Source organism: Homo sapiens, chromosome 14 (assembly GCF_000001405.40).
Source record: "Homo sapiens chromosome 14, GRCh38.p14 Primary Assembly".
NCBI classification, from domain to species: Eukaryota; Metazoa; Chordata; class Mammalia; order Primates; family Hominidae; genus Homo; species Homo sapiens.
Window position 1 is genome coordinate 51,912,696 of NC_000014.9, and position 26,680 is coordinate 51,939,375.

The 26,680-nt window shown below is 40.8% G+C and overlaps 1 protein-coding gene and 1 long non-coding RNA gene across 16 annotated transcripts in view; one reads left to right on the plus strand and one right to left on the minus strand.

The window, feature by feature from the left end:
* GNG2 (G protein subunit gamma 2) overlaps positions 1-26,680 on the plus strand; it is a 143,622-nt gene that overhangs the window by 86,522 nt on the left and 30,420 nt on the right. For 2 of the 15 annotated variants that reach the window (XM_047431488.1, XM_047431487.1), the window contains exon 4: positions 314-433. The exons of the other annotated variants lie outside the window; for them this stretch is intronic. The gene's annotated coding sequence lies outside the window, so the exon portion shown is untranslated. The remainder of the gene's footprint in view (positions 1-313; positions 434-26,680) is intronic. 15 annotated transcript variants of the gene reach the window in all.
* On the minus strand, positions 3,450-5,876 carry LOC102723604 (uncharacterized). Its single transcript, NR_126331.1, has 3 exons — positions 5,854-5,876; positions 4,639-4,781; positions 3,450-3,812 (listed from the first exon to the last, which is right to left on the minus strand). It is a non-coding gene; the product is annotated as an uncharacterized LOC102723604 (long non-coding RNA).

Here is a 26,680-nt window from a genome sequence, read left to right on the forward strand (position 1 = left end):
TGGATGCTTTCTTCTAAGATGTCAGTGATTCTAATATGAGGCCAAAGGCCCCACACAGGTGAACAACATTGTGTGGGCAGTCCTTATAAAAACCTTACATCAGATATTATGCTGCAACGTGTATTTCAGCTACTGGCTTGGTTTTGGGGGTGGGGGTGGGGGTGTGTGTGTGTATGTGTGTGTTTTGTTTCTTTGAGGTGGAAGATAGCCCAAGAAAAATGAAAACAAATGTTTAAGTAAAACTGCTGAAGCTCACTAAATCGGCTAGAAATTAATTAATTGAACCTGTAAGCTTATGTTTCTGCTTTCAAAGGGATGATACTGTGAAGTGTTCAGGAATGAAGTCTCGTGATGTCTGCTACCTAGTTTCAAATGGCAGGAGAGACAGAGGGATGGGGAAGCAAAAGTGACCATTGTTAACTCTAGGTGGTTGGTAAGTGGGTGTTCCTTGTTTTATTCTTTCACCTGTAATGTATGTTTATGTTTTTTAAAAGTTAATAAGTTGGAGGATGATAGAAGCATTAAAAAGTAGGCCGGGTATGGTGGCTCATGCCTGTAATACCAACACTTTGGGAAACTGAGGCAGTAAGCTCCCTTGGGGCCAGGAGTTTGAGACCAGCACAGGAAACATGGCAAGACCTCCTTTCTCAAAAATTTTTAAAAAAGAAAATTAGCCAGTGTGGTGGCTTGTGCCTGTAGTCCCAACTACTTGGGAGGATGAGGCAGAAAGCTTGCTTGAGCCCGGGAGTTAGAGGTTACAGTGAGTTAAGGTCGTATCACTGCACTCCAGTCTGGGTGACAGAGTGAGACCCTGTCTCTAAAAATAAACAAATAAGTTTATGGGGGAGAGCGGAAAGAACAGGTGCCATGGGATCATAGGATGAGAGGGCAGTACAGGATGAATGGTCCTTTCCCCCATTGTCATCACCTTTGAGATCAGGGAAGAAGCAGAGATGTAGAGAGGAGGTCTAGAGGTTGTATGGAGGAGCAACTGATCAAAAAGCTGTGCTCTAGATAAAGGAATAAGCACAGAGCTCTTAGTACTGCTGTAAAACTAGAAGTTACTGTGGGAGTGGAGGTGACATCCTTTAAGTTACATTTACAAGTTCTATTATTAGGATTAAAGTACTCTATATTCTCCCTTAAAACTGACCACCAACAATGAAAATGTTGCATGTATATAATTTATGCATATGTTGCATATATAATGTATGCATAAAAGTTACATATATCCAAATACCTTTTTCATACATATGTTTCATTTCATATATATGAAAAACAATGGGAAGAATATCACTAAAATTTTATCTGTAGGTAAGAATTTCCATGTGTGCTTAAAACTGGGAGTCACTGTATCCAATATAAAGTTCAAGGTGTTTTGTTTGCTTGCTTGCCTTTTTATCTACTTTTGCAGAAGATATTGAAATTGCAATCATCTTGTTTTTGGGGGAATGGAGTCATTCCATATTGGCTCTTGAGTATGTCTGCCACCACTCTGATTCTAGCTGGAGGCTGCCAGAAATGACTGTGCCATTGAATGGAGTTATTAGGCAACATAAAACGGACAAGCCAGACCAAGGTAGAATGGAAAAGGACTGCCGTCTCAGGCCATTTCATTATGTCTGAAAGAAAAACTGATGAAGAAACACAGGCCACAGTAACCATAGCTCCTGCTCTAATCCTTTCTCCCTGAATCTTCTTGAAGGATCCTTGTGCTAAGGTTCCCAAGGTGCGGGAGGGATTAGAATGAATGCTGTTTTGGCACGAGGTTTGGTAAATCATCTTGGGTGTTAAGTCCCGTGTAGAATTACCTAATAGTAATGAGGTGTCGGCAGTTTTGTATCTATTTAAAGCTTTAACTAGACCACATGAGTAATGTGCTTTCAGGTGCTTATCTCTAATTAATTAATTCATTTGTAAGTGAAATACCTAATTAAAGCAGTCTAAGGGAGCTCCTTTGCGGCCTGGATCTGGTAGATCCGGTAACAAAGAGAGGTCTTTGCTGATGCAACTTGTTGAACTGATCCTCATGGGCTATTAGCTTCATCAGATTTCATTTGAAGAGTTCTTTATGTTTTTTTGTGTTTTCAAATGTAATACAGACCAAATACTGGTCTTTGATGCTGACGAGAGTCACTCACTTACGCATAACTTTGGAAGAAACCTGAAGATGGTACGATTGGGGTCTCAATTGGGGGGAAATGGACAAAGATGATACATGCCCTGCCATCATGCCTTTCTGTCATGTACACTGTCATCAGGCAAGGCCAAAAAGCCTGTCACTCCATGACTGCTTGCTTGAGTTTAAAAGTTCAGGGTCATTTCTTTCTACTTAGGCATTTGCTTTGCCTTTACTTTATCAGAAAACTATGTAACCCAAAGTATTTACCATTTCACTTCAGCTACTAAGAGATGTTGGCCACGTTTAGAGCTTAAGTGTATGAATCAATTCAGTTGTCTCTTCCCTGTACTCCCACTAACCTTCTTTGTTCTTTTCTTAGAATAAGGGCATCATCCTTAAAGGTAAAAAGCCAAGGCCTTCTGTGAAGGGCAGTTTACTGGTTCATAGATAAGGATGGCAGCTTTGGATTGAGAAACTTCTATTTTGTCATATTACACCTCTGCTACATTATGAGGGAGAGGATGCATTTCAGTGTAATAATTATGACTAACTTATAATGTGTTTTGCTTCTTGTAAACTGTTACTGCCCTAAATAGGATGAATGGAACAAAGAGCATAAATGAATTCACAAAAGACACCTAAGCTGCTCTGAGGATATGGGAGGGACTTAAAGAGGCAGCAAGGAAACAAATCGAATTTGGGGTAAATGGAAAATTAGGGAGGGGAAATGGGTAAATATGATACGTTAGAAGCCATCCGTTCTCTTTTATAAAGTGACTTTTTATTTAAAAGAAGAAACAAAAGTCTTCCTCTGAATTTCAGCCCAGCCCTTAAACGATTTCCCCACAACAGAAAATTGGTATTTTTCTAAAATATTTTGTGACTAAATGCTATTTGGAAAAAAAAGTGGTATTTCTTTAAATTAGTGCTTTGAAAGGAACACATACTTAGCCTGAATCACTTTTGCCTACATATGTGAATTATGGGTCTGTGTTTAGAACTTAGGAAACAGCTGCTGTACTCTGTTCCCAGACAAAGACACACTGCAGAATGCTACATCCAGGTTTGTGGGTTCTCCTGAGACTGTGGTGGTAGGTTTCAGGTAACAATATTTGCTGTGAGTTAAACCTGTAATAACTGTCATTTTCAGGACGGGAGGCATTACAGTTATACAGTAAAACTATAAAAGAATAAAAAAGTCAACCTCAAAGATAAACTCCTTGAGAACAGGAGCCTATTCCTGTTTGTTTCTTTATCCCTTACTGTACAACATACTACATAGAGTAGGCACCAAAAGAATAAAGAATTATTGATTGAGTAAATGAAATCATGCATCATTCTACCTATGTAATCATTTTATTTCTGTGTAAAATTTCCTTGTGTTGAGTGGTAGCTGATAGTGTCTAACCAGAGGCTAATTTTAGACAGAGAGCCATATTTTACATCTATTATTATTTCAGCTAGACGAAAACACAGAAATTGAGTGGGTGCTGGAACACATCCATTATTTGCCCCGTAGAGATAAATGGAGTAGTTGAGAATAGTGCACCGTTGGCAGAATATGGTGGGAAAACGTGCACATTGGCTTCCCACGAGGACCTATTTTGTACTAAGTTATTTCATATTTCGGTCTCTAGGATGCCAGTGTTATAACATCTCAAAGTGCTAAAAATTTTCCACGAAAATAATCCTGAAAAAAAAAAAGAAATGGAAATTAATCCAATTAAACTTCTCTCCTGGGACAGCGGATTTGCAGCTGGCGCAGCTTCAACAGTGGCCATTGAGGGGGAGGAAGCCAGAAGTAGAAGAAGAGCCAGGTGCTGGGAGGCCTACCTGCCTGCGGTGTGGTGGAGCAGTGCCAGGCTGCTGTGGACCATACCCAGGTTGGTGTAGGTATCCAGGGGTGCAGTGTGATGGACAGGGTATGTCAGGTAGTGGATAGTGTGAGGGTTCCAGGGCCATTTGCCAGCTTTGAAGCAGCCTCCCATCTAATAGCATTTATTAAAATTCAGAGAAGAAGGTCTGGCCACTGGAGATTGAGGCCTGGCAGAAGAGCCAGCCAAAACAGTGGGATGAAGGTAGCATTATCTGGGTGATCAGGTGTTTCCTAGGTCCCTGGCTATGAGACTTAAGGAAGCAAAATCTATTTCAGACCTCACCCATTGATGGAGATCTGATTTTATCTACACTGCCAGGCATGTTCAGGGCTGGCTTGGGCACTGGTGGGCAGAGCCTGGTGAAAGCATGACTGTGGCTAGAGGGGAGGATGTAGGAGTTAGGAAAAACGCGATTTAATGGACTTTCCCTAAACTTTTGGTAGCCCTTAGGCATGTAAGTACATCCTAAGCTACTCTTTCAAAATGATATCTCATTTCTGAAATTTCTTCCATCATAGTGAAAAGTCCCCAAATGTTCTGGAGTCAAAATATCCACCAGTCAGCACACTTCCCAGTGAATCCCAGCCGCTGCCACGAAGAGGGATAGGGAAGAAACAATTTTTCCATAGCTGTACTTACTGAGCCCCAAGTGTAAAGCACAAGAAAATCGCATCCCATTTGTCAGACAGCAACGACATGGCTGGTTGCCTTCATACTGCAATCGCCTCTGTAATCTTCCTGTGAGACGTAGCATCCTCCAGGGAGTGAGTTGGAACCTTAGCCTAGTGCAGAGTTTATTAAAACCATGTCTTTTTTTAAATCACTTAACTTCCAGCAAATAGCATAAATCTTGCACACACTGAATTACCTCTGATTAAAGGTATTTAGGATTAATCAAGGGAGATGTGTTGTTCCCTGAAAGTAAAAATCAGACTTTTTTTTAATCATTCCTTTGAGATATTAGGTCATGATTATTTTAATCACAAAGGAAAATCTGAACTTTGGATCATTTTCTTATTAAGCATCAGAAACACTGTATTAAAAACTGATAAATGGCTGAGTGTGGTGGCTCACGCCTGTAATCCCAGAACCTTGGAAGGCCAAGGTGGGCGGATCACCTGAGGGGTTTGAGACCAGCCTGGCCAACACGTTGAAATCCTGTCTCTACTAAAAACACAAAAATTAGCCGGGCATGGTGGCGGGCGCCTGTAGTCCCAGCTACTCGGGAGGCTGAGGCAGGAGAATTGCTTGAACTTGGAAAGTGGAGGTTGCACTGCGCCGAGATCGTGTCACTGCACTCTAGTCTGGGCAAGAGAGAGAGACTCCATCTCAAAAAACAAACCAAAAAAAAAAAAAAAAACTGATAAAGAAGCCTCACTACATCCCTCAAAAGTGAAGACAAAAGCTACAGGATAATAAACCAGAAGCAACAGGGGCAAAACAGTGGGCTGAAAGCCATCCCAAAAGCATTTTTATTAGACAGTGTCAAAGACACCTGCGGAGGTGGTGACCTGACCTAACAAGCTTTGACCATGTTACCACGCTGTCTTCATGCCCGTGGTAAAGAGCTGCACTGTCTCCACTCTGCAAAGAGCTGCTTCTGGCCAATTTTGCTTCCTGGTTGTCCTCATGTAGACATGAGTCCCAGCTGAGAGCATTTTTCCAAAAAATAAAGTCAACTTTTACCTCCTTCATTTGAAAAAAAAAAAGCAGATTTTGCAGTTGTGTCTTGATAAAATACGGCAAAGGGTTGAATCCACATTTTCAAATTATCCCAACTTACACAAAGATATTTTCTAAAAATAAAAGAACAGTTGTACATCTATGGTGTGACCTCCATGAGAGAATACTTGCCTTGTGTTTGCAGGCCTTCTTTCCAATAATTAATGCTGTGAAAATAAGTAAAAAAATAAACTAACTTATATAACACAAAAATAAGACAATTTATACTTGGAGATCAGCTACAGAATAGAAACTAAAGCAGATTTATTACTTAGGCACAAAATAAACTACGAACTTGCATCTGTTTTCTTACTGCCTTCATTGTAAAAGGGTTGAAATAAACAAGGTGTTACTGTTTTTGGAGAAATTCTTGTGTATCATCATCAAGGAAATAGAATTTAGAAAATTTTGTTTTGTTTTGTTTTGAGACTGAGTTTTGCTCTTGTCGCCCACGCTAGAGTACAGTGGTACGATCTCAGCTCACCGCAACCTCCCCCTACCAGGTTCAAGCAATTCTCCTGCCTCAGCCTTCCTGAGTAGCTGGGATTACAGGCATGTGCCACCACGCCAGGCTAATTTTGTATTTTTAGTAGAGATGGGGTTTCTCCATGTTGGTCAGGCTGGTCTCGAACTCCTGACATCAGATGATCTGCCCGCCTCAGCCTCCCAAAGTGCTGGCATTACAGGCATGAGCCACCGCGTCCGGCCTAGAAAACTTTTAATGATTTTACTCTAAATTTTATAATTTTACTCTAAATTTTATAACTTAGAGAAAGTCTTCATTAATTTAAACTCTATTAATTCACACTTTGCTTTATTTCAGAAGTAACTGGAGTGGTGTTTAATATTACTCAAAAAATCTTTTCTTTGTGGATAATAATGGAAGTGTTTAATGCAATAATGTGAAAACAAGATTGTAAGAATAGTGCTTAAAATGTTAAAAGAATAATTTGTTTTTGAACATCTTTAAAGTCTTTAAACATAGCTCTTTACATATAAATTTTGCACATGCCAAACAAAAATTGTTTTATCTAGCCTTTCAAGCAGGTCCCCAGAAGAAGTGTTTTGTAGCAAATCCAGCTCACATACTATGAGTTACCCTCAGAATTTAAAAGTAATACATGTATCCCCAATTTTGATGTTTTAGACTGGTCTTTTTCCTTAGTTTGATGATTACGGTTTGACAACATAACCAGTCCCAGCTAGTGGGTTCCTGGACCCTGAATGAAAGGTAGATTTGTAAGGCAGCTGAGCTTTGGCTGATTGAGACTTGTTTGTTTGAACATGTTCCGCCCTAGTAATGGATATGGTCCAGTAACTGAATAAAGATAATGAGCACTGAACAACAGATGTTTATCAGGCAAAACGGAGATCATCTTTTAACACTCTGTTGCTGAGGCTTTGGTATAAGTTTATTTAACAAATTTTAACCAAACACCTGTTTATGTACCAGATTCTAGGTATTTATAGGCAAATAAAAATAGATATGGCCCCTGTCATGGAGTGTACTGTCTAGCTGGGGAGCAGAACTAAACACATACACAATTAGATATAAACCGTTGTCCCTCTGTATCTGTTGGGGATTGATTCTAGGAACCCCCTTGGAGACCAAAATCCATGGATACTCAAGTCCCTGTATAAAATGATATTGTAGAGCTGGCCCTTTGTATCTGAGGGTTCTGCATCTGAGAATTCAACCAATGTTGGATCAAAAATATGGTATTTGTGGGATGTAGAACCTGCAGATACTGAGGACCATATCTGGAACTAACGCAGGACTGACTGCAAGACTTGAGCATCCTCAGATTTTGGTATCCACAGGGGTCCTGAAACCAATCCCCTGAAGATATCAAGGGACAACGGTATTTGCATGTAACTTATACAAACCCTCCCCTATACTTTAAATCATCTCTAGATTATTTATAATACCTAATACAATATAATAATTATAATAATTATAATACCTAATACAATATAAGTAAATAGTTATTATACTATATTTTTAGAAAATAATTACAAGAAAAAAGTCTGTACATATTCAGTACAGACGTAACCATCCATTTTTTCCAAATATTTTCAATCTATGGTTGGTTGACTTTACGGATACAGAAGGCAGAATATAATTACAAATTATGATACAGAAGTACTCTGAACAATAGGAACAGAATGCCATGAAACTATGAGATACAATTGGAAAGACTGACTTTGGAGAGAATTTATAAATGGAAAGGTCTAGGTGAGCATCGGAGATTTTGAGCTCTTAGAATAATGTTCCTTGAATGGTTCTTATTCCCTCTTTCCATTTCATTCTATGTAGGCAGTGGAAGATGCCTTCACCATGAATTTTACCTGTGTTACTGCCAGTACAGATGTTGATCTTTCTCAACCAAGACATCATGAATTTCCATAGCCCCAATAAATTGCAACTGTTGGGGCCATGGAAACATGGGAGCTGGGCTGCTTAGGAGAACCTGAGTTCTTTGGGTGGGGTGAAGGGTGTGGTGTTTACACATTTCATTAGGATTAGAGTGATTTTGGTTCTGCTGCAAACATTGCCAAGAACTCATCATATTCCTCTGGATAAGTCACTTAATTTCATTGAATCTCATTCTTTCTCCTATAAAATTAGAGAATTAAGATGAGGTCATCTCTGAGGTCCTTTCATATTCAGTGTCCTAAAAGGCTGTATTGTATAGTGAAAAAAGGTACAGACTTGGGAACCAGATTGTGAGGGTTGAAATCCCAGCTCTGTCACCTACCAGCTATGTGACTAAGTACATTTCTTAACTTCTCTGTGCCTCCCGTTCCAAAACTGTAAGATGGGAGATAAGATAGTATGCACCGCATAGTGTTGTGAGAATTCAGTGAATTAATCTAGTAAAGTACTTAGGGCCTGCATTATGGTATGTAAGAAGTGTTAACTGCTATTACTATTCCCTGAAAGAAGGTCACCTCTTCTAAAGCCTGGACTCCAGAAGAGGCAGAATACTCGAGACCCTGGAGTGAACATATAAACAAAATAGTGTTTGGGAACCAATAATTGACATTTCCACAATTCTTACCAAACCTGCTTTGTGTTAGGCATGTTTTAAAGCACAACTTTTTATTGTTGGAAGAAGGCCCAAACCATAGAATGCTTTATTTCATGCCCACAGGGACTCTCTTCTTCCTTGGGACACAGGCAGGTAATTAAGCCCCTGAGGATGGGGTGCACACAGGATATTGAACTAGTGCTTACTTCATAATGCTTTCACACCTGCGGCCAGGACAACAAAGCAGGAGAAATCAATGCCATTACTTCAGAGGCTGAGAGGTGGATGCTCTTATGCCAATGGGTTTTTGCTCTACTTAAGCAACATGAGACCTCATAAATTAAACTTGAAAAGGATTTTTCAAATTATGAAAAAATTCATTAAAAATGTATAAGCATTAACTTCAGCTGACTTAGTGTATCACAGAGATTCTGTTTTAATTAAACCCATACAGATTTGCAATAAACAGCATCATTTTCTCTTCATTTCTTAATACACCCAAATCTCTGAAACTATCATTTTGTTCCTTTGCACTATTTTCTTTAGCATTTTCTTCATAAATGATACCACCTGGACTCTGTTATATTATAAGTGGTTATTAAATGTTTAATAAAGAATGAACTAATAAGACTTTTACATTTCTTCCACTTTCTGTGTGTATATGCGTGTTTGTGTAATCTTCTGACAGCTAAAACTCTGACAATTCAGACTATTGTGATTTGGGGATGTCTGAAATAATGGAGATTATGCTTTCTTATAAAAGAGAGAGAAACTACTTTTTCTGTGAGAAACTAGGATGCTATCATGGGAAAGAAATTGCTTGTGGATCTTGTAAAACAGAAAATGTAGCTTTTTAGATAAAAGGAAAAGGAGAAGAAGAAGACAAGAAATTAAGTTTACTTAGCAAAAATCTAGTTTCCTGAAACTTTTCTGGAGACCAGAGCACTAGAGTCTCTCAGTGTTTTTTGCTATGGATGACTCCCTCTTTTGGGGATGGTGGTAGTTGGCGAGGGGGAAGACTCCAAGGGGTAGTAGCAGCCAACTCCCCTCTTAGCCCTGACAACCACACCCTGACCCCTACCCCTACCAGAGGCTATCCAACACTGTCGCTTTTACCTTAGAAAAGTAGAGTTCAACCTCTCTGACAATTTCCATTGCCCCTCCTTTGTCCCTAGCCTATCTTCCTCCCTTGAGCCTTCTCCCTGTCTTCGGTTTCTTCTCTCTCTCCAAAGACTTTTCAGAAGGAGCTCAGTTTTTCCTAAAGAGTAAGAAACAAAAAAGCCTTTCTGTGGGAGTCTGTTTAAGACATAACGGACTCGTGCTTATAAAAGGCCCTTTCATTCTGTTTGCTGGTATGTGTTTCCTGAGCAGCCGGGGGTGGAAAGTCTCAATAGAGTCCAGTCAAAGATTGCAACTGCAAATTTCCAAGGCTGCAGGGTGGGGGCAGAGGAGAAGGGAAAGCCTTGTGTATAATGCCATGCAGACACTTTCAGCAAGACTTACTCAAGGCAGCCCCAGGAGCTCTGTCTTTAAACGTGCCAACATACGTTTTGTTAGCAAGGCAGTTCTTTCTAGCAAATAACTTTCTTTATGGTTTCCCACGTACAGGGTGGTTTTGTTTTTCACAAAATACCGTTATTTAAAAATGACAACTGAGCAGAGAAAATAGGCATTAAGCAGGAAATGCTTGGAGCCTGTCTAAGGCTTTTTTCTGTTGTGGACTGGCGAATTGCTGCCATGATAAGCTGATGTGTTGCCCTTTCTGTTGGAACCTTCAGGATGGTGCCCAGAGTGAGAGGGAGCATTTCAAAGAGGATTCCCTTTTGGTCTTAGGTCTTAAGTTAGAATTACATAGGGATAAGCAAATTCAAATCAGAAAGTTTGAGATTTGGATTTGAACTGTAGAGGTTAAGAGAGGGTTGGTGTAGAGATTCACATTTTTTGAAACTGTGAAATTGGATGGTTAGTGTTCACTTTTCCCCATACATACACAAATATATATATATATACATGTTTACATTTTATATTCTGTATTGGCAAATATATGTATGTGTGTGTGTATGTGTATATATATGTGTATATATATACACATATACACATATATATACAAACACACAATACACACACACACACACACAGACATATGTTCTTCATTTGATTTAATGAATAAATATTTGTTTGGCTGACCTTAAATGGATTTCATGCTATCTTAGCACTTTCTTAAATGGAGAAATTGCAACCATGTGCCAAGATTAATATGGTAAAAGTTTCACTTTATTTTATTTAAAACTATGTATATAGACATGGAATAGAATGTAAAATGTATATGAATTTAAGATACAAATGGAATACAACCCTTGCTTGTGACAGGAAAGGATCCCAGATTCCCTGGGGTAGGGGTGGACTCAGCTTTAGCTTCAACAGACTCTGGGACACCTCTGCCTAGGGCTGATCATGCGGGTCAGCAGGAACGGGCAACAAAACTCAGAAAGATTCTCTGCTCAGAGATGTTGGAATTTGTACTTCCTACCCCAGTCTTCATTCTGTAGTTATAAAATTATGATCCTTTTCAGGTCTCTCTTTAAATGTGCATATTTATTGATAGGCTTAAGCTATTGGTCATTCATACCTTATAAATTAAGCCACTAACATCATATTGAGATTGGCTTCACAGACCACAGAAGCAGCTTTGGGTTCCTAACTGAGGTCCCTTAACAGTTTTGTAGACTAGAGCAAGCCAGCTAATTCACTTGAGCCCGGTTTCTTAATCTGAAAATAGGAATGATAACACCCACCTAAATATCACAGAATAGCTATGAAGTCAAAATGGCATACTATACATGGAAGACCCCTATTAAATTGTGAAGTACTATTTATATATCAGTCATCACTACCAATCATTTTACCTGAAATTAGTAGTACATCATCAGGCTTATTCATTTGAGTTGAGATTAGTTAATAGAGAAGAATGGGATGGGAGAGGTAGTTTTGAAATATAAAACATTTAGGAAGATTGGGCCAATATGTGTTACCTCAGTGAGAGTCTTTGCTATTTGAAGGTATAATACAGCAGGTCAGAGGCAAGAAGGAAGAGGAAGAGAGTCAATGCCACAACAAACTTCTGCTCTGAGATTCAGCAGAGGAACCTTGAGGAAGAAACAGCCCTTGACAAGCTAAGTTGCTCTAAGGAGAAAATTCCATGATGAGATTCATCTTAACTTGTTAGGCAAGCCGCAATACATAGACTGAGACACAGTACTACTATATTACAGTTCTGAGCATGGTATTTTCCAAAGCCAGGACCTACTGAAAGTGTAAATAATTGGAGGTAAACACTGGTCTCACTTAGCATCTAGAAAACATCCTGTCCTCGTGCACGTCTGACAATGCTGCCTGTCATCTCTGCTCTTGTGTTCATCATCCTAATAACACACAGCAGTTGTTAAGCTTGCGCTGTGTACAGGGCACTATTCTAAGCACTGGACATGAACCATCTTCTTTTATCCCCACAGTAACCCTAAGAAGTATATTCTTTAACTCTCATTTTATAAAGGATTCAAAATCACAGCTACATAGGAGGGATAAGTTCCAGTGTTCCATAGCACTGTAGGGTAACTAAAGTTCACAATGATTGATTTTGTATTTTCAAACAGCTACAAGAGAGGATTTTTGAATGTTCACAATGCAAAGAAATGATAAACGTTTGAGGTGATGGATATGCTAATTACCTTGATTTGATCATTGCATGTTGTATACATGTATGAAAATATCACTGTGTACCCCATGAATTATTATATCCAATCATGTAATTAATAATATAACACATAATACAATTAACATATACAATATAACATATATGTCAGTTAAAATTTTTCAAAAATGTTCCCATTTTACAGTTGAAAAACTGAGACTGGATGTTTAAGTAACTTGACCACTTAGTATATGGCAGAGGATTCAGGTGACAATAGACCTGAATAGATTCTGGGCCTCTTTGAGGCCAACCTCTTCCCAACCCATGGTATAGCCATTGTAGGTAAAGATAATTAAAATGTGCACAAATTAGGAAGCGCTCAGAATCTGCTCCTCTGAAAATCGGAGGATACTGCCTTCTTGAGGGCCTGCTCCTCAAATTCTCTTATGCAAGACCTGACATTGAAGTCTTTTCTTTTATATTATTTTTTGAGACAGGGTCTCACTCTATCACCCAGGCTGGAGTGCAGTGGCATCATCTCAGCTTACTGCAACCTCCGCCTCCCAGGTTCAAGTGACTCTCTTGCCTCAGCCTCCTGAGCAGCTGGGATTATAGGCATGCACCACTATGCCCGGCTAATTTTTGTAATTTTTTTTTTTTTTAGTAGAAATGGGGTTTCACCATGTTGGCCAGGCTGGTCCCAAACTCCTGGCCTCAAGTGATTCACCAACCTCTGCCTCCCTAAGTGCTAGGATTACAGGTGTGAGCCACCGCACCTGGCCTGAAGTCTTAAATATACTTGGAGAGGTGAGGATGAAGTAGGGCCAAAGAGAAAAAGGCTCCAAGGAAGTGATCAGTTGTTTTTGTGTTTAATTTGTTTTCTTTTCTTTCTTTCTTTTTTCTTTTTTTTTTAAGCTGAGCAAATGACTGAGAAAACAGAGTTCTAGAGACATTGAGACGGTAAAGTGTCCAATTTTTAAAAAAATTGTCCACTTTAATTTTTAAAGAAACAGTATTTAATAAGTTCTCAATCTGATGATGTCATTTTTCTGTCTTCCGAAGTCTTCTGAAATCATCAGTTTGACTTTATGTTTGCTTCTAACACCAAGCTTCACCAAGGCACATTTAAGCTTATTTAGGGAAAAAAAGTCATGAAGAACAAAGCAAAAAGCAGATTTTAGATCTTAACTTTCACAAATATTCCATCTCTTCCCTTCTAAACAAGTCATAGAAACTATGGACAAAAGTAGACTCGTGTGTAAGAAAAAACAAAGAGTTTATATCTGACTGTAGAATGAGTTTTGGACTAATTTTTTTCAGGAGTCAGAGTAGGAAGGCCAGGAACCTAGGCCACCTTTTTGGTGCTCAGCACGTGGTGAGAAACCCAAAATGACCACTGATACATGCACTTGCCTTCTCATGTTGAGACAGCCAAGCATAAAGAGACTCCCTACCGGCCTGCGCACTGGGCAGAGTGCACGCTGGGGTGGAGCCTCAGGAAGTTGGCGCCATTTTGCAGAGGGGAGGAGCCTGGCCTCTTCCTTTTCCGGTGTGGAACCTGGGATTCAGTCTGTGAGAATGGAAGCGTCTTAGCAGGACTGTGGCTTTGCTAAGGGTCCCTGTTTCCCTTTTTTTTCTTTCCACCCAACACACCCTGTCCTTCTCACCCTTCAAAGTGTCTGCAAGCCTAATTTTTCATGGTTGTGTGACAAGGACCCCGTTTTTAGCTGAACTAAGGAGAAAGCCCTACAACAATGTTTTGTCTTTCCTCGCCATTAGCAGTTCCATTTGGTAAGATAATTTCATTTAAGTGGACAGTCAGTCCAGCAACATGATAAATAGTTTTGTCTGGGATCAAATTTCTATTACTTATCCGAAGCTGATGTCATTTTGAATTACAGTCATCACACTTCTTTACTCTGATCCCATTCTCTCATTTAGTAGTACTAAAATTCTTCCAATTCACGTTTTCTTTTGTAAGTCAAGATCTCATGTTATTTACTGTTATTTACTCAAAAGTCAGGTCTTTTGAGGTCTCCTGTTATTTACTGTTATTTGGCCAGTGGGTCTACTTCAATTAAGACTCATTGGGTGAATAACAGTAAATAACAGGAGACCTCAAAAGTCAGGCAGGTCTGGTTCTTGATGTCATTGCTTCAAATTCTGATTCCCGTTTATCTTCATCAGATTGCCAAGGATCGAAAATCAATTTATATCACTTCCTTGCTAACTGAGGGAGTGCACTGAGCTTTGTATTTATTAGCTGGAGAAAAATTCTTATTCAATATAACAGATTGCTATATTTCACATTAGTACTATAAACTAAAATTTTCTTTCTCTCTGAAAAACAAAAAAATGCCTCTTCTAGGTGTTTCCACCATACCCTGGGCTTTCTCCTATCTTAGTACAAATCACACCATGTTGAAATTCCCTATTTATGGGTCTGTTTTTACCTTTGGAGTGTAAGCTTCCTAAAAATAGGGGCTGTGCCTGGTTCCCTGTTTTATCCCTAGCTCCAAGCACTGCCTGGTACATTAAATAGGCAAGCCTGAAATCGTTTGATGACACTGAGATTTGAAAAGAAAGTAGGCCCAGAGGGCTGGCAGGATTTCTGTTCAATTGCCCAGTTAGATTAAATAAGGCTACCTAGATGTTTAGAAACAGTGCTCTGTTATGTAAAGGAAGGCTGAAAATTTTTAAAATAAAGTCTTCTGGTGGTTTGTTGTTGTTGTTGTTGTTGTTGTTTGGCAAATGAGAAGAAAACATGAGCTGATCCCCTTGTGTACTTAGAATCCTGAGGTTTTTGTCATGACCCCAAAACACTTCCTAGAAATACCAAGTCTCCTCTGAAGTCTCAATTGGGTATTTGCCTTTCTCTCTCTCTCTCTTTTTTTTTTTTTTTTTTTTTGGAGACTGAGTCTCGCTCCGTCATCCAGGCTCGACTGCAGTGGCAAGATCGTGGCTCACTGCAACCTCCACCTCCTGGAATCAAGCAATTCTCCTGCCTCAGCCTCTCAATAGCTGGGATTACAGGCGTGCAACACCACGCCCGGCTAATTTTTTTGTATTTTTAGTAGAGACGGGGTTTCACCATGCTGGCCAAGCTGGTCTCGAACTCCTGACCTCGTGATCCACCCACCTGGTCTCCCAAAGTGCTGGAAATTACAGGCGCGGTGGCTCACGCCTGTAATTTCATGTTTTTATTACCGGTGAACTTAAAATTAAGGTGATATATTTTCTTCTGGCTGACAAGAACAGATAATATCATCCCAGCAAATAGTTTTCTAGAGGCACTGAGCCTCCTATAAACATTTTCATTTATCTAACTGGCATCAGAGCAGCCTGCGCCACAACTGTTGCCAGCCTCTTCTCTCAACACCAACCTCATATCGTCCTTGTGTGTTCCACCCTACCAAGGATAGAGGGATCAAGGAAGCTCCTGTGGCAAACGGATTCAGTTTTATCTCATCCTAAAAAAACACTGTAATGTCATGAAAAATCAAGCCAAAACTGAGGAGGAAGGAGAGAGAGACGTGACTTTTAGTTTTAACACTTGTCTATTCATTAACCCCACCCACCTCCAATCACTTTTGGCTCCGGGTACATACGGCTTATATTTATGACTAATGCCTGGTATTCTTTCTTTACCTTGGGCCTTCCTTGGAGGAGCAAATCCTGCTGGAGCTGCCTAGAGGGTTCTGTGATTTACAGGCGTGAGCCACCGCGCCTGGCCGGGTGTTTGCCATTTTCTAGCCTCCATACCATCACAAGAACTAGTGAGAACTAAGCCGTAGTCTATAATAAATGATGTGCTTTCGTTGTTCTCACCGAACTATAACTTTAAGCATTTTTAAAGACTTTTATTAAAGATTCTGTTCTGTCGTTTATCTATATGTGAAGCTCAGGAATAAGAAGTATTTCCCAAGCAACCGAGGTTACTGATCTTTGGGTTTGTAGGACCAAATCCTGGGAATTTGAAGTGACTCTCTAATGGTAAAGTATTAATTAGACCTCTGTAAAATGAATCAGACTCATTTGCTTAATCAGGAGTCACCTCAGTTAAAGGGCCAGCCAGCAAGTAACCTGGCTTAGATACAGTGCTGCTTGTTGTTTCCTTTCCAGCTATTTTAAATAGCTGCTGAAATGGGGCCACGGACTGTTTCTGTTCATCCCATTCCTATCTACCCCCGATGGTGGATGCAGTTCATATCTGCATGACTCATCTAACATTTGCTGCAGAAGTGAAAAGAATGCGAGGATGCTGAGAATCAAGAGGCACTAAGCAGCCTTTCAGGACACACAGGGTTTCTGAAATGGGTATCCATAAATCACAGAACCCTCTAGCAGCTCCAGCAGGATTTGCTCCTCCAAGCAAGGCCCAAGGTAAAGAAAGAATACCAGGCATTAGTCATAAATATAAGCCGTATGTACCCAGAGCCAAAAGTGATTGGAGGTGGGTGGGGTTAATGAATAGACAAGTGTTAAAACTAAAAGTCATGCCTATCTCTCCTTCCTCCTCAGTTTTGGCTTGATTTTTCATGACATTACAGTATTTTTTTAAGGATGAAATAAAACTGAATCCGTTTGCCACAGGAGCTTTCTTGATCCCTCTACCCTTGGTAGGGTGGAACACACAAGGACAATATGAGGCTGGCGTCGAGAGAAGAGGCTGGCAACAGTTGTGGCGCAGGCTGCTCTGATGCCAGTTAGACAGATAAATGAAAATGTTTATAGGAGGCTCAGTGCCTCTAGAAAACTATTTGCTAGGATGATATTATCTGTCCCTGTCAGCCAAAAGAAAATATATCACCTTAATTTTAAGTTCACCGGTAATAAAAACATCTATCTCTAGAAATTCCATAATGTTTCTATGCAGAGTACCAATCACCACTCCCTCTCTGTAAGGTGGCCCATTCATGTTAGCCTCAAGCCATGTGACACTGAATAACTCTCAGCCAAGCAAACGATGCCCTAAGCAGGCATGAGCTGGTCTTCCAATTCCTTTGTGTGTGCTGCTTTTGGCATATTTGGTTAATGCACTGTGCAAATATAGTCTGAACATGCTAATTTCTCTTAGTAGCATCAGCTTTGCTTTATTCCAGTGACAAAAAAGCCTTGTCCGGCCCATCCACATTTCTTGGTGAGGAGGGACATAGTAACCAGCAGCCTGACTAATCCATACTCACTATCAAAGCAAAATGATTTCAGATGAGAGCTCTATCCTTGGCCCTACTTTACAGAGGAAACTAGTCATTTTCACAGGAAATAACTAGCGTGAAAAAGGACTTTGTTTCCTAGGGTTTCTTAGTGCAAGCTCTTGTTCTCAGAGACACAAAACTCGGCTTCCTGGTCATCATCTTTGACCTTGGTCACGTCACCTGATCTCTCTATTGTCTCTTCATCTGCAAAATCGGTTTCTTGTTTGCCTTAGAAGTGTCTCTCCAAAACAGAAAGATACAATATGAGTCCTTGAAGGCGACCTTTCACTATTAAATGTATCACTTGTGTTGTTCCATTCTTGCATTGCTGTAAAGAAGTACATGAGTGGGGGTGATTTATACAGAGAAGAGGTTTAATTGGCTTATGGTTCTGCAGGCTGTAAGGAAGCATGGTGCCAGTATCTGCTTCTTGTGAGGGGCTCAGGAAGCTTCCAATCATGGTGGAAGGTGAAGGGGGAGCAGGCCCATCAGAGAGAGAGAGAGAAAGAGGAGAAGAGAGAAGACAGAGAGGAGGCCCCACACTCTTTTAAACAACCAGATCTCACCTGAACTCAGAGTGAGAACTTACTCATTAGTGCGAGGATGGCACCAACCCATGGTGGTGGCATGCGCCTATAGTCCCACCTGCTAGAGAGGCTGAGGTGGGAGGATTGCTTGAGCCCGGGATCCCAGGAGGTTTCAGTGAGCTGAGATCATGCCAGTGCACTCCAACCTGGGTGATAGAGCAAGACTCTGTCTCAAAAACAAAAACAAAAGAACAGGAAAGAGAGAGAAAAAGAAATACAGAAATATAGGTGGCCAGGCTAGTGTGATAGCAGTAGAACGAGGATAAGGGGTTGGATTCTGATTATATTTTGAAGGAAGAGTCCAGGGGTTTGCTGGTAGGTTGGAGGTGAGATGTGAAGCAAAAGGAAGCAGTAAGAAGACTGTCAAAGTTTTTAATCTGAGCAATCAGAAGAAATTGAGCTGCCATTGACTGCTATATGGGAAAGACTGTAAGAAGAGCAGGTCTGGAAAAGAAGAGTTTGGTTTGGGACATGTCAAGTGAGAGGCGCTCATTCACATAGAGAGGGTGAGTAGGCAGTGGATATATGGGCCTAGAGGTGAGAGCCAGGATGTGTAACTAAGATACAAAATCGGGAGATGTAAGCAAGGAAAGAGTGTTTACAGCAATGAGAGTGAATGAGATCACTGAGGTGGGTGAGTGTCAACATACAAGAATAAAGTGCAAACACTCTGAGACCTGGGGATCAGGGAGATGAATCAAACCAAGAAGAGAGACTGAGAAAGAAATGACAGGAAAGCAAGACAAGAATCCAAAAACAGAAAAAAATACCAAGTATTGGTGAGGATGTAGATAAATTGGAACTGCTGGTGAGAACGTAAAATGGTTCAACTGCTTTGGAAAACAGTATGGAGGTTCCTCAAAAAAGTTAAAAATAGAACATATGATTCAGCAATGCCTCTTCTGGGTATGTATCAAAAGAATTGAAAGCAGGATCTCAAAGAGATAGTTGTATAGCCATGTTCACGGCACCACTGTTCACTATAGCCAGGAGGTGGAACCAACCCAAATGTCCATCAGTGGATGAATAAAGAAAATGTGGGCCGGGCGCGGTGGCTCACGCCTGTAATCCCAGCACTTTGGGAAGCCGAGGTGGGTGGATCACGAGGTCAGGAGATCGAGACCATCCTGGCTAACATGGTGAAACCCCGTCTCTACTAAAAAATAGAAAAAATTAGCTGGGCATGGTAGCAGGCGCCTATAGTCCCAGCTACTTGGGAGGCTGAGGCAGGAGAATGGCATGAACCGGGGAGGTGGAGCTTGCAGTGAGCCAAGATCACACCACTGCACTCCAGCCTGGGCAACAGAGCAAGACTCTGTCTCAAAAAAAAAAAAAAAAAAAAAAAAAAGAAAAGAAAATATGGTATATATGCACAATGGATTATTAGCCCTAAAAAGAAGGAAATCCTCTCACATGCTACAGCATGGGTGAACCTTGAAGACATTACGCTAAGTGAAATAAGCCAGTCAGAAAAAGATAAATACTGTATGATTCCACTTTTATGAGTTATCTAAAATAGTCAAACAACTCATAGAAACAGGAAATAAAATTGTGACTGGGCTGGGTGTAGTGGCTTTCACCTGTGGTCCCCGCTACTTGGGAGGTGGGAGGATCACTTGAGCCCAGTAGGTCAAGGCTGCAGTTAGCCATAATTGTACCACTGCACTCCAGCCTGGGGGACAGAGGGAGACTCTGTCTCTAAAATAAATTAATAAAATAAAAATAATTGTGGTTGGTAAAATAAGAAAGAGCAGATCACCGAAGTCAAGTGAAGAAATTGTTTAAGAGAAAGGAAGCCATCCATTGTGTTAAATACTGCTGGGAGGTTGTAGTGGCCTGAATAAATCTCTAAAGTATCGGGTCCTAATCCTTAGAATCCATAAATGTTAATTATAAGGAAAAAGGATGTTTGCAGATGTGATTAAGTTAAAGCTCTGGATATGGAACAGTTATTCTAGATTATCCTGGGGGGTGGGGTGGGGGCGCCTAAATCCAGTCCTAAGTATCCTCATAAGAGAGGACAGAGGGAGATGACAAAAGGCAAGGAAAAGGCCACGTGACCACAGAAGCAGAGATTGGAGTGAATTGGCCAGAAGTCAAAGAATGCCAGTAGCCATCAGAAGCTGGAAGAGGCAAGAAATGGACTCTTCCCTAGAGCCTCTGGCAGGAGCATGGCTCTGCTGGCACCTTGATTTTGGCTCAGTGAAGCTGATTTCAAACTCTAGCTTCTAGAACTGTTATAGAATAAACTTACATTGTTTGAAGCCATCAGCTTGTGGGAATTTGTTACAGCAGCCACAGCAAACCAAGACAGGGGTCAAATAAGATTAGGACTGAGAAGTGATCATTGGATTTGGCCAACTGGAAGTTGGATTTGCTGGTGACTTGGACAAATGTCGTTGCAGGAAAGGCGCTGGGGGAAACTATTTATAGTGGATATAAGAAAAATTGAAGAAGAGGAAGTGGACACAGCAACGATAGGCAACTCTTTCAAGTTGTCTATAAAGGAAAGCAGAAAAATAGGATACTGGCCAGGACAGGGAAGCAGAATCAAGGGACAGGTTTTATTTTTGTTGTTGTTGCTTTTTATTTTTTTAAGATGGGAGATATTTTAGTTGTTTATATGCCAATGGCATTGCTTTAGTAAGGTGGAGACAAAATTAATGATGCCAGAAAGGACCAGGAAAAAACTGCAAGAATCGAGTCCTTTGGTGAGTGAAAGAAAATGAGAGCCGCTGCTCGAGTGAAGGGGCTGCCCTAAGACAGGGGCAGGAGTGTTCATTTACCACAAGGGAAGAGAAGGCAGAGCTTATGCAGACAGAAATGCAGATGCAGGTAAGTTGGTCATGGGAGAATATGGGCGTTCTCTTCTTGTTGCTGCCATTTTTATAGTGAAAGAAGCAGCGAGCTCACCAGCTGAGAATGAGGATGAGGAGAAAGGAGGTATCAGAGGTCTGAGAAGGGAAGGTGTGAAAATCATGAGAAGGTGACTCAGGAAATGTGGAAGGAAAGCTGGATAGCACTGAGGATCCACTTGAAGTTAATATCTGTGAATTTTAAATGAGACCAGCTTTCATGATGTGTGTTTATTTTGCACTGTAGTTGCTCCGGAATAGGTTTAGAGTTGGATCCGACCAGGATTGGGGATTTTATCAGCCAGTATGATGGAGAAAGAGGCAGGATTGCTGAGTTTAAAGGGAGTGGTTCCATGATAGGCCACGGACTCCAGGCCTGGTAAAGCAGCACGTGAGGGCATGAGGGTTTTGAGGGCCGGAGAAAAGGCAGTAAGCTCCGTAGATGGAAGTCCTGCTAGAGTCAAAGAATCACTAGTGTCAGGTCACAGTGAGAGTGATCCTGAAAGCCAGGAAATGGACACCCAAGAATGAAAAGCTTAAAATCCCCTTTCCAACCAACTGGGGTCTTCGAGCTTTTCTGCATATTCATCCACTTTCCTTGTACATTTCATTTTGGAATATGGGCTGAAACTTCACTCTACTGAGAGAGTCCCAGAGCTGTGGAACTCACTGATGCAGTGATAGGAATAAAACTACAATCGGCCTCTTGAACTGGCACAAAGAACTAGAAAGGAATCAAGCAGTCATTTATCTCAGCACTCTCACTTTACAGAGGGGGAAACTGAGGCCCGGGGGGAAATGACTCATCCGTGATCACTCAGCAAAGTTGAAAGTCAAAGCCAGACCTTCAGCCTCAGCATTCAGTACCCTCCATGTTACCCCACACTGACTCCCACGTTCTCTATGTGAACATTGGTTCAGACCTCGGGGTGCCGGTCAGTTCATTAAGCATCTTCATGTCTCTGCTACTTCCATGCCCCTCTGTCTTTCCCTTCACATTTTCATCACAAGATACCACATTTATAAAAAAGAGCTGTCCTCTAAAAAACTCCCTGGAGATCCACACAATTATCTGTTTCTCCCTTTGTACAACATTAAACCTATTTTATTAAAGTGCAGAGACGTTCTTAGCAAATACTATTCACACACTAATCAGGGAGCCTTTGTAGTCAAATTTGCAGGCTTTTTAGTCTCTGTAAAACAGTGCACAAAAATAATAGGTGGAAATTCCAGCCCAGTTTCTTTCTTTTTTTTTTTTTTTTGGAGACGGAGTCTCGCTCTGTTGCCCAGGCCGCAGTGCAGTGGCGCAATCTCGGCTCACTGTAAGCTCTGCCTCCCGAGTTCACGCCGTTCTCCTACCTCCGCCTCCCAAGTAGCTGGGACTACAGGTGCCTGCCACCACGCCCCGCTAATTTTTTTGTATTTTCAGTAGAGACGGGGTTTCACTGTGTTAGTCAGGATAGTCTCGATCTCCTGACCTCCTGATCCGGCCGCCTCGGCCTCCCAAAGTGCTGGGATTACAGGCGTGAGCCACCACGCCCAGCCCAGCCCAGTTTCTTTAAGCTTACTGCATCAGAATGCCTCATCAGTAGTGATCACCATAGGGAGGGGAGGGGTCAACAGGGACAGTAGGATATTACTTTTATTTCACACACTCCCACCCATCCATTCTCCTAACAGAGTTTCTCTAGTAGTGACCCTACATTTGGAAGGGAAGAAAAGCAACTTAGTGAGAAACCTAAACCTTAATAATGCTCCCAATTTGGGGGGATGGCAAAATGTTAGAAACATTCAAGACGGTGAAAAGTGCATCTAGCCAGGTGTCTTAAACCTGGGTTTAAGTCCTTTGTTCTGACACTGTGTTATGGCTATGTTTTCTTTCTCCTTTCTTTTCTTTTTCTTTCTTTTCTTTTCTTTGAGGTTTAATTGGCTCACAGTTCTGCAGGCCGTTGTAGGAAGCCTGGCACCGGCATCTGCTCGGTTTTTGGGGAGGTTGCAGGGAGCTTTTACTCATGGCGGAAGGTGAAGTGGGAGCAGGCAAGTCACATGGCCAGAGAGAGAGCAGGAGAGAGAGAGCGATGTTTTCTGAGGCAATTCATATAATCACTCTGTCCCTTAAGTTTTTTATTTGCAAAATCAGAGTCATGGTTCAGTGGGTTTTTAAATGCCTCATATTTAATCTCTCCTTAAGGCTCAGTGGCATAAATTTGCAGAGGAGCCATTTTTCTAACTTGCTAATTCCTAGAAAAATCATCAAGCCCCATCCTGGAGAGTCCTTCCTCTCATGAGTCTCCAGGGACCGCCAGAACTGGACCAAACTTGTTAAATAAAACACAGTGCCACTCTGGGCTCCATGCTTTGGGAGGAATTTTCTAAACCTGTATCACAAGTGATTAAAGTGTATTAAATCAGTGGTTATAAAAGGGATTTCTGTTTTGGATAGATGGTTCTGCAAGATACTTCTGGGTCCTGCTAAACACTTAGATTTAAGAACTCTGTGTACTCCATGGTATACATTAAGTAAGGTCAGTCAAGTTCACAGCCTTTCCTTTCTTGGAAGTGCTCTTGGTACCTGGGGACCGGTCTCAAAAATGTTCATTCTATGAGGGTACGCTAGAAAAGGAAGAAGGTGAGCAGCAGAGGTGGCTAAATAGCTTCTTAAAATAGCTTCTGCAATCATGGTAGCTTAGGAACTATATATACACAGTTGTCAACCTCTTCCATTGGCACACTAACTTTTTTTTTTTTTTTACTCCATTGATTTTTTTTTTTTAGTTCTTATTTTTTTAGAGATAGTGCCTCACTCTGTGGCCCAGGCTGGAGCGCAGTGGCATGATCACAGCTCATTGCAGCCTCAGACTTCTGGCTCCAGCGATCCTTCTGTCTCAGCCTCTGGAGTAGCTGGGACTATAGGGTGCATGCCACCATGCCTGGCTAATTTTTTTTGTAGAGACAGGTTGGTCTTTTTGCCCAGGCTGGTCTTGAACACCTGGCTACAAGGGATCCTCTCATCTCAGCCTCCCAAAGTGCTGGGATTGTAGGCGTGAGTCACCACACCTAGCTGTGAATTTTAATGTATATAAATTATATCTTGATAAAACTGACTTTAAAAAATAATATCTGTAAGATAAACTCCTGGTCATCAAGTCAACTTTTCAAACAAGCTCCTTTCACCCAAATAAACAGCCATTCTGTAAAAAGGGCCCTTTTCTTGGTTCTCCTCCCCACAACCCAGGGTATTTCTCTATCAGCATGGGCAATAGCTGTCTATGCCCTTGGTGAGCAAGTAAAAGGAAAGGTTGCTTGTCCCTTTATCTTTAATGTCTTACATTTTCCCTCTACTCCTTATTGTCAAAGGGATATTGGCATAGCAATTTATTTTAAGTACCTAGAGAAGTCATTTTAAAAACAGTATTGATTGAAAGACTAAAAAGTGGCTCTGTGCTATACATTATCAGAGATGTATAATAGCCTTAAAAGATGGAAAATAAAGTTTGACACTTGAATAATGAGGAAAAATTAAAATAACTTCATTCTCTAAAGGAAATGGAGCAGGATGGTAAATCTTGCAGTGTAGATCATGAGAAATCTTCCCAAAAGGTCAGCATTTATGCAGGGCCCCACAGATGATTATGTATATTAGTTAATATTTCCTTCCCTGCATGATATCAGACACAAAAATGTAAGCACTCCAAGGTGGGAAAAAGCACTTGAAAAATGGTTGCAAAGATTAACTGGGTTGTCTATAGGTGCTAGGGTTGTAGAAGATTTCTGTTTTCTGAATCTCTATGCTTTTCAGTTTTCCGAAAATGGCTATGTATTTCTTTACAAAAGAAATACATAATTTTTTTTTTTTTTTATTATACTCTAAGTTTTAGGGTACATGTGCACATTGTGCAGGTTAGTTACATATGTATACATGTGCCATGCTGGTGCGCTGCACCCACTAATGTGTCATCTAATACATAATTTTAAAAAGTGAATTGGGAAATAATATTTTTTAAAAGTGAATTGGGAAACAAGTGTGTTACCAGCCCTCCTTGTACTAAGCTGATAAAAGGAGACAGGTGCTCTGCTGAGTCTTTCCATATAAGATACAGGCCTGAAGGGGAGAAGGGAGCAGCCAATTATGGAAGCCTCAGGTGCTAGGCTTGCAAGTTTATTCTGTGGCCACAGGAAGCCTTAACGAACAACGAAAAGTGTCTTCCAGAATTAGTGAGGTAACGCACAGGCTCTCACATTCGTTCAGTGGCTGGTTTCTTTAGAAACTTATTGTAACATGTGCATGCACTTCTGGGTCACACACATTAAGCACGCAGTAAATCCTTGTTAATGAATTTTAAACCGCAATTTAGAATAGTCACCATCTCTTTAATAGGTTCTTCATGAAAGTTAGAAATTCCAAAAAAGGATTCACCAACCCTCCCTCAAAAAATTTCCCCCGCTTAGGATTGCTCATGAAGTTCTTGCTTAATAGAGTCACAGTTGGTTGTATCCAGAGATTTTTCCCTTTGCCATTCTTATTTCATGATTCTTTCTTCATGTTCTTTGTTATGAGGAATGGAGATTATGCATGTAATGTTTTAGGTCACAGTGTTTAGTAGTTGCTCAATAAACAGTGGTGGTCATTGTTTTCTGTTCATTCCCACTCCTTGTATAGCACTCCATAATTAACAATGTGCTGTCACAAACATTAGGCATGCATGTACAATCCAATAGTTGTTATCCCCACTTTAAGGCTGAGCAACTGAGGCCCAAAAAGATGAAATCATTTTCTCACTGTAAAACAGCTGGGAGTTTCAGAGCAGACTAGAATCCAGCTCTTCTGTCTCCTGGCACATGTTTTCTCACTATTATACCTAGTGTCATTTGTACCACTAGAAATATCCCCAGATAACACAGTGATGGCAAACAGTGAATTTCACACAAGGGGGTGGAAGAGGTCCAGTTCCTATTTGGGGAACTCAGCATCCTTTGTTCACCAAAGGATTTCTCATGTTATGATTTTGGAAGCCTAAGAGACCATCTAAGCAATGGCAAGGAAGCTCCACCAGGGTAGTCTCCCTGAACTACAGGGGTTGCCTGAGGTTTGAGAGACACTGAGGATTTAGGATGGAAGCAGTGTGAGTGGTTCGTTTTAATAAAGAAATTAATTAACCAATAGATAATTTCCTGCAAGGAGGCAGAAGGCTGCTGCCTTTCAGATCCCCCTTGCCTGCTGTTGCAGAGTATTAGGCATCCATAGGTTAAGAGAGCTATTTTTATGGAAACTAGTTCATTATTTCTCTTTTGTTGGAACCCTACTGGTTCATGGTCTGGGCTTCTGTATTAAAAAAAAAATCCAACATCCACAGTTCAAAGTATTAATCTTTTTTCCGTGGAGTGAACAAAGCCCACCTAGCGTCTAAGAATGCCAGCTCCCATTTATAGATACAAGCTGTTTCCTTATCCAAGTCTCAGATAAAAACTAAAAGCTTACATGTCATTTTAAAGTTGCAACATGGCCTATTCGTTTCATTTTACAAAATTTGTGAAATCCATGACTTTGAAGTCATTTTTCGAGGACTCTGTTTTTTGTCAGGGTTGTTAGAAACAG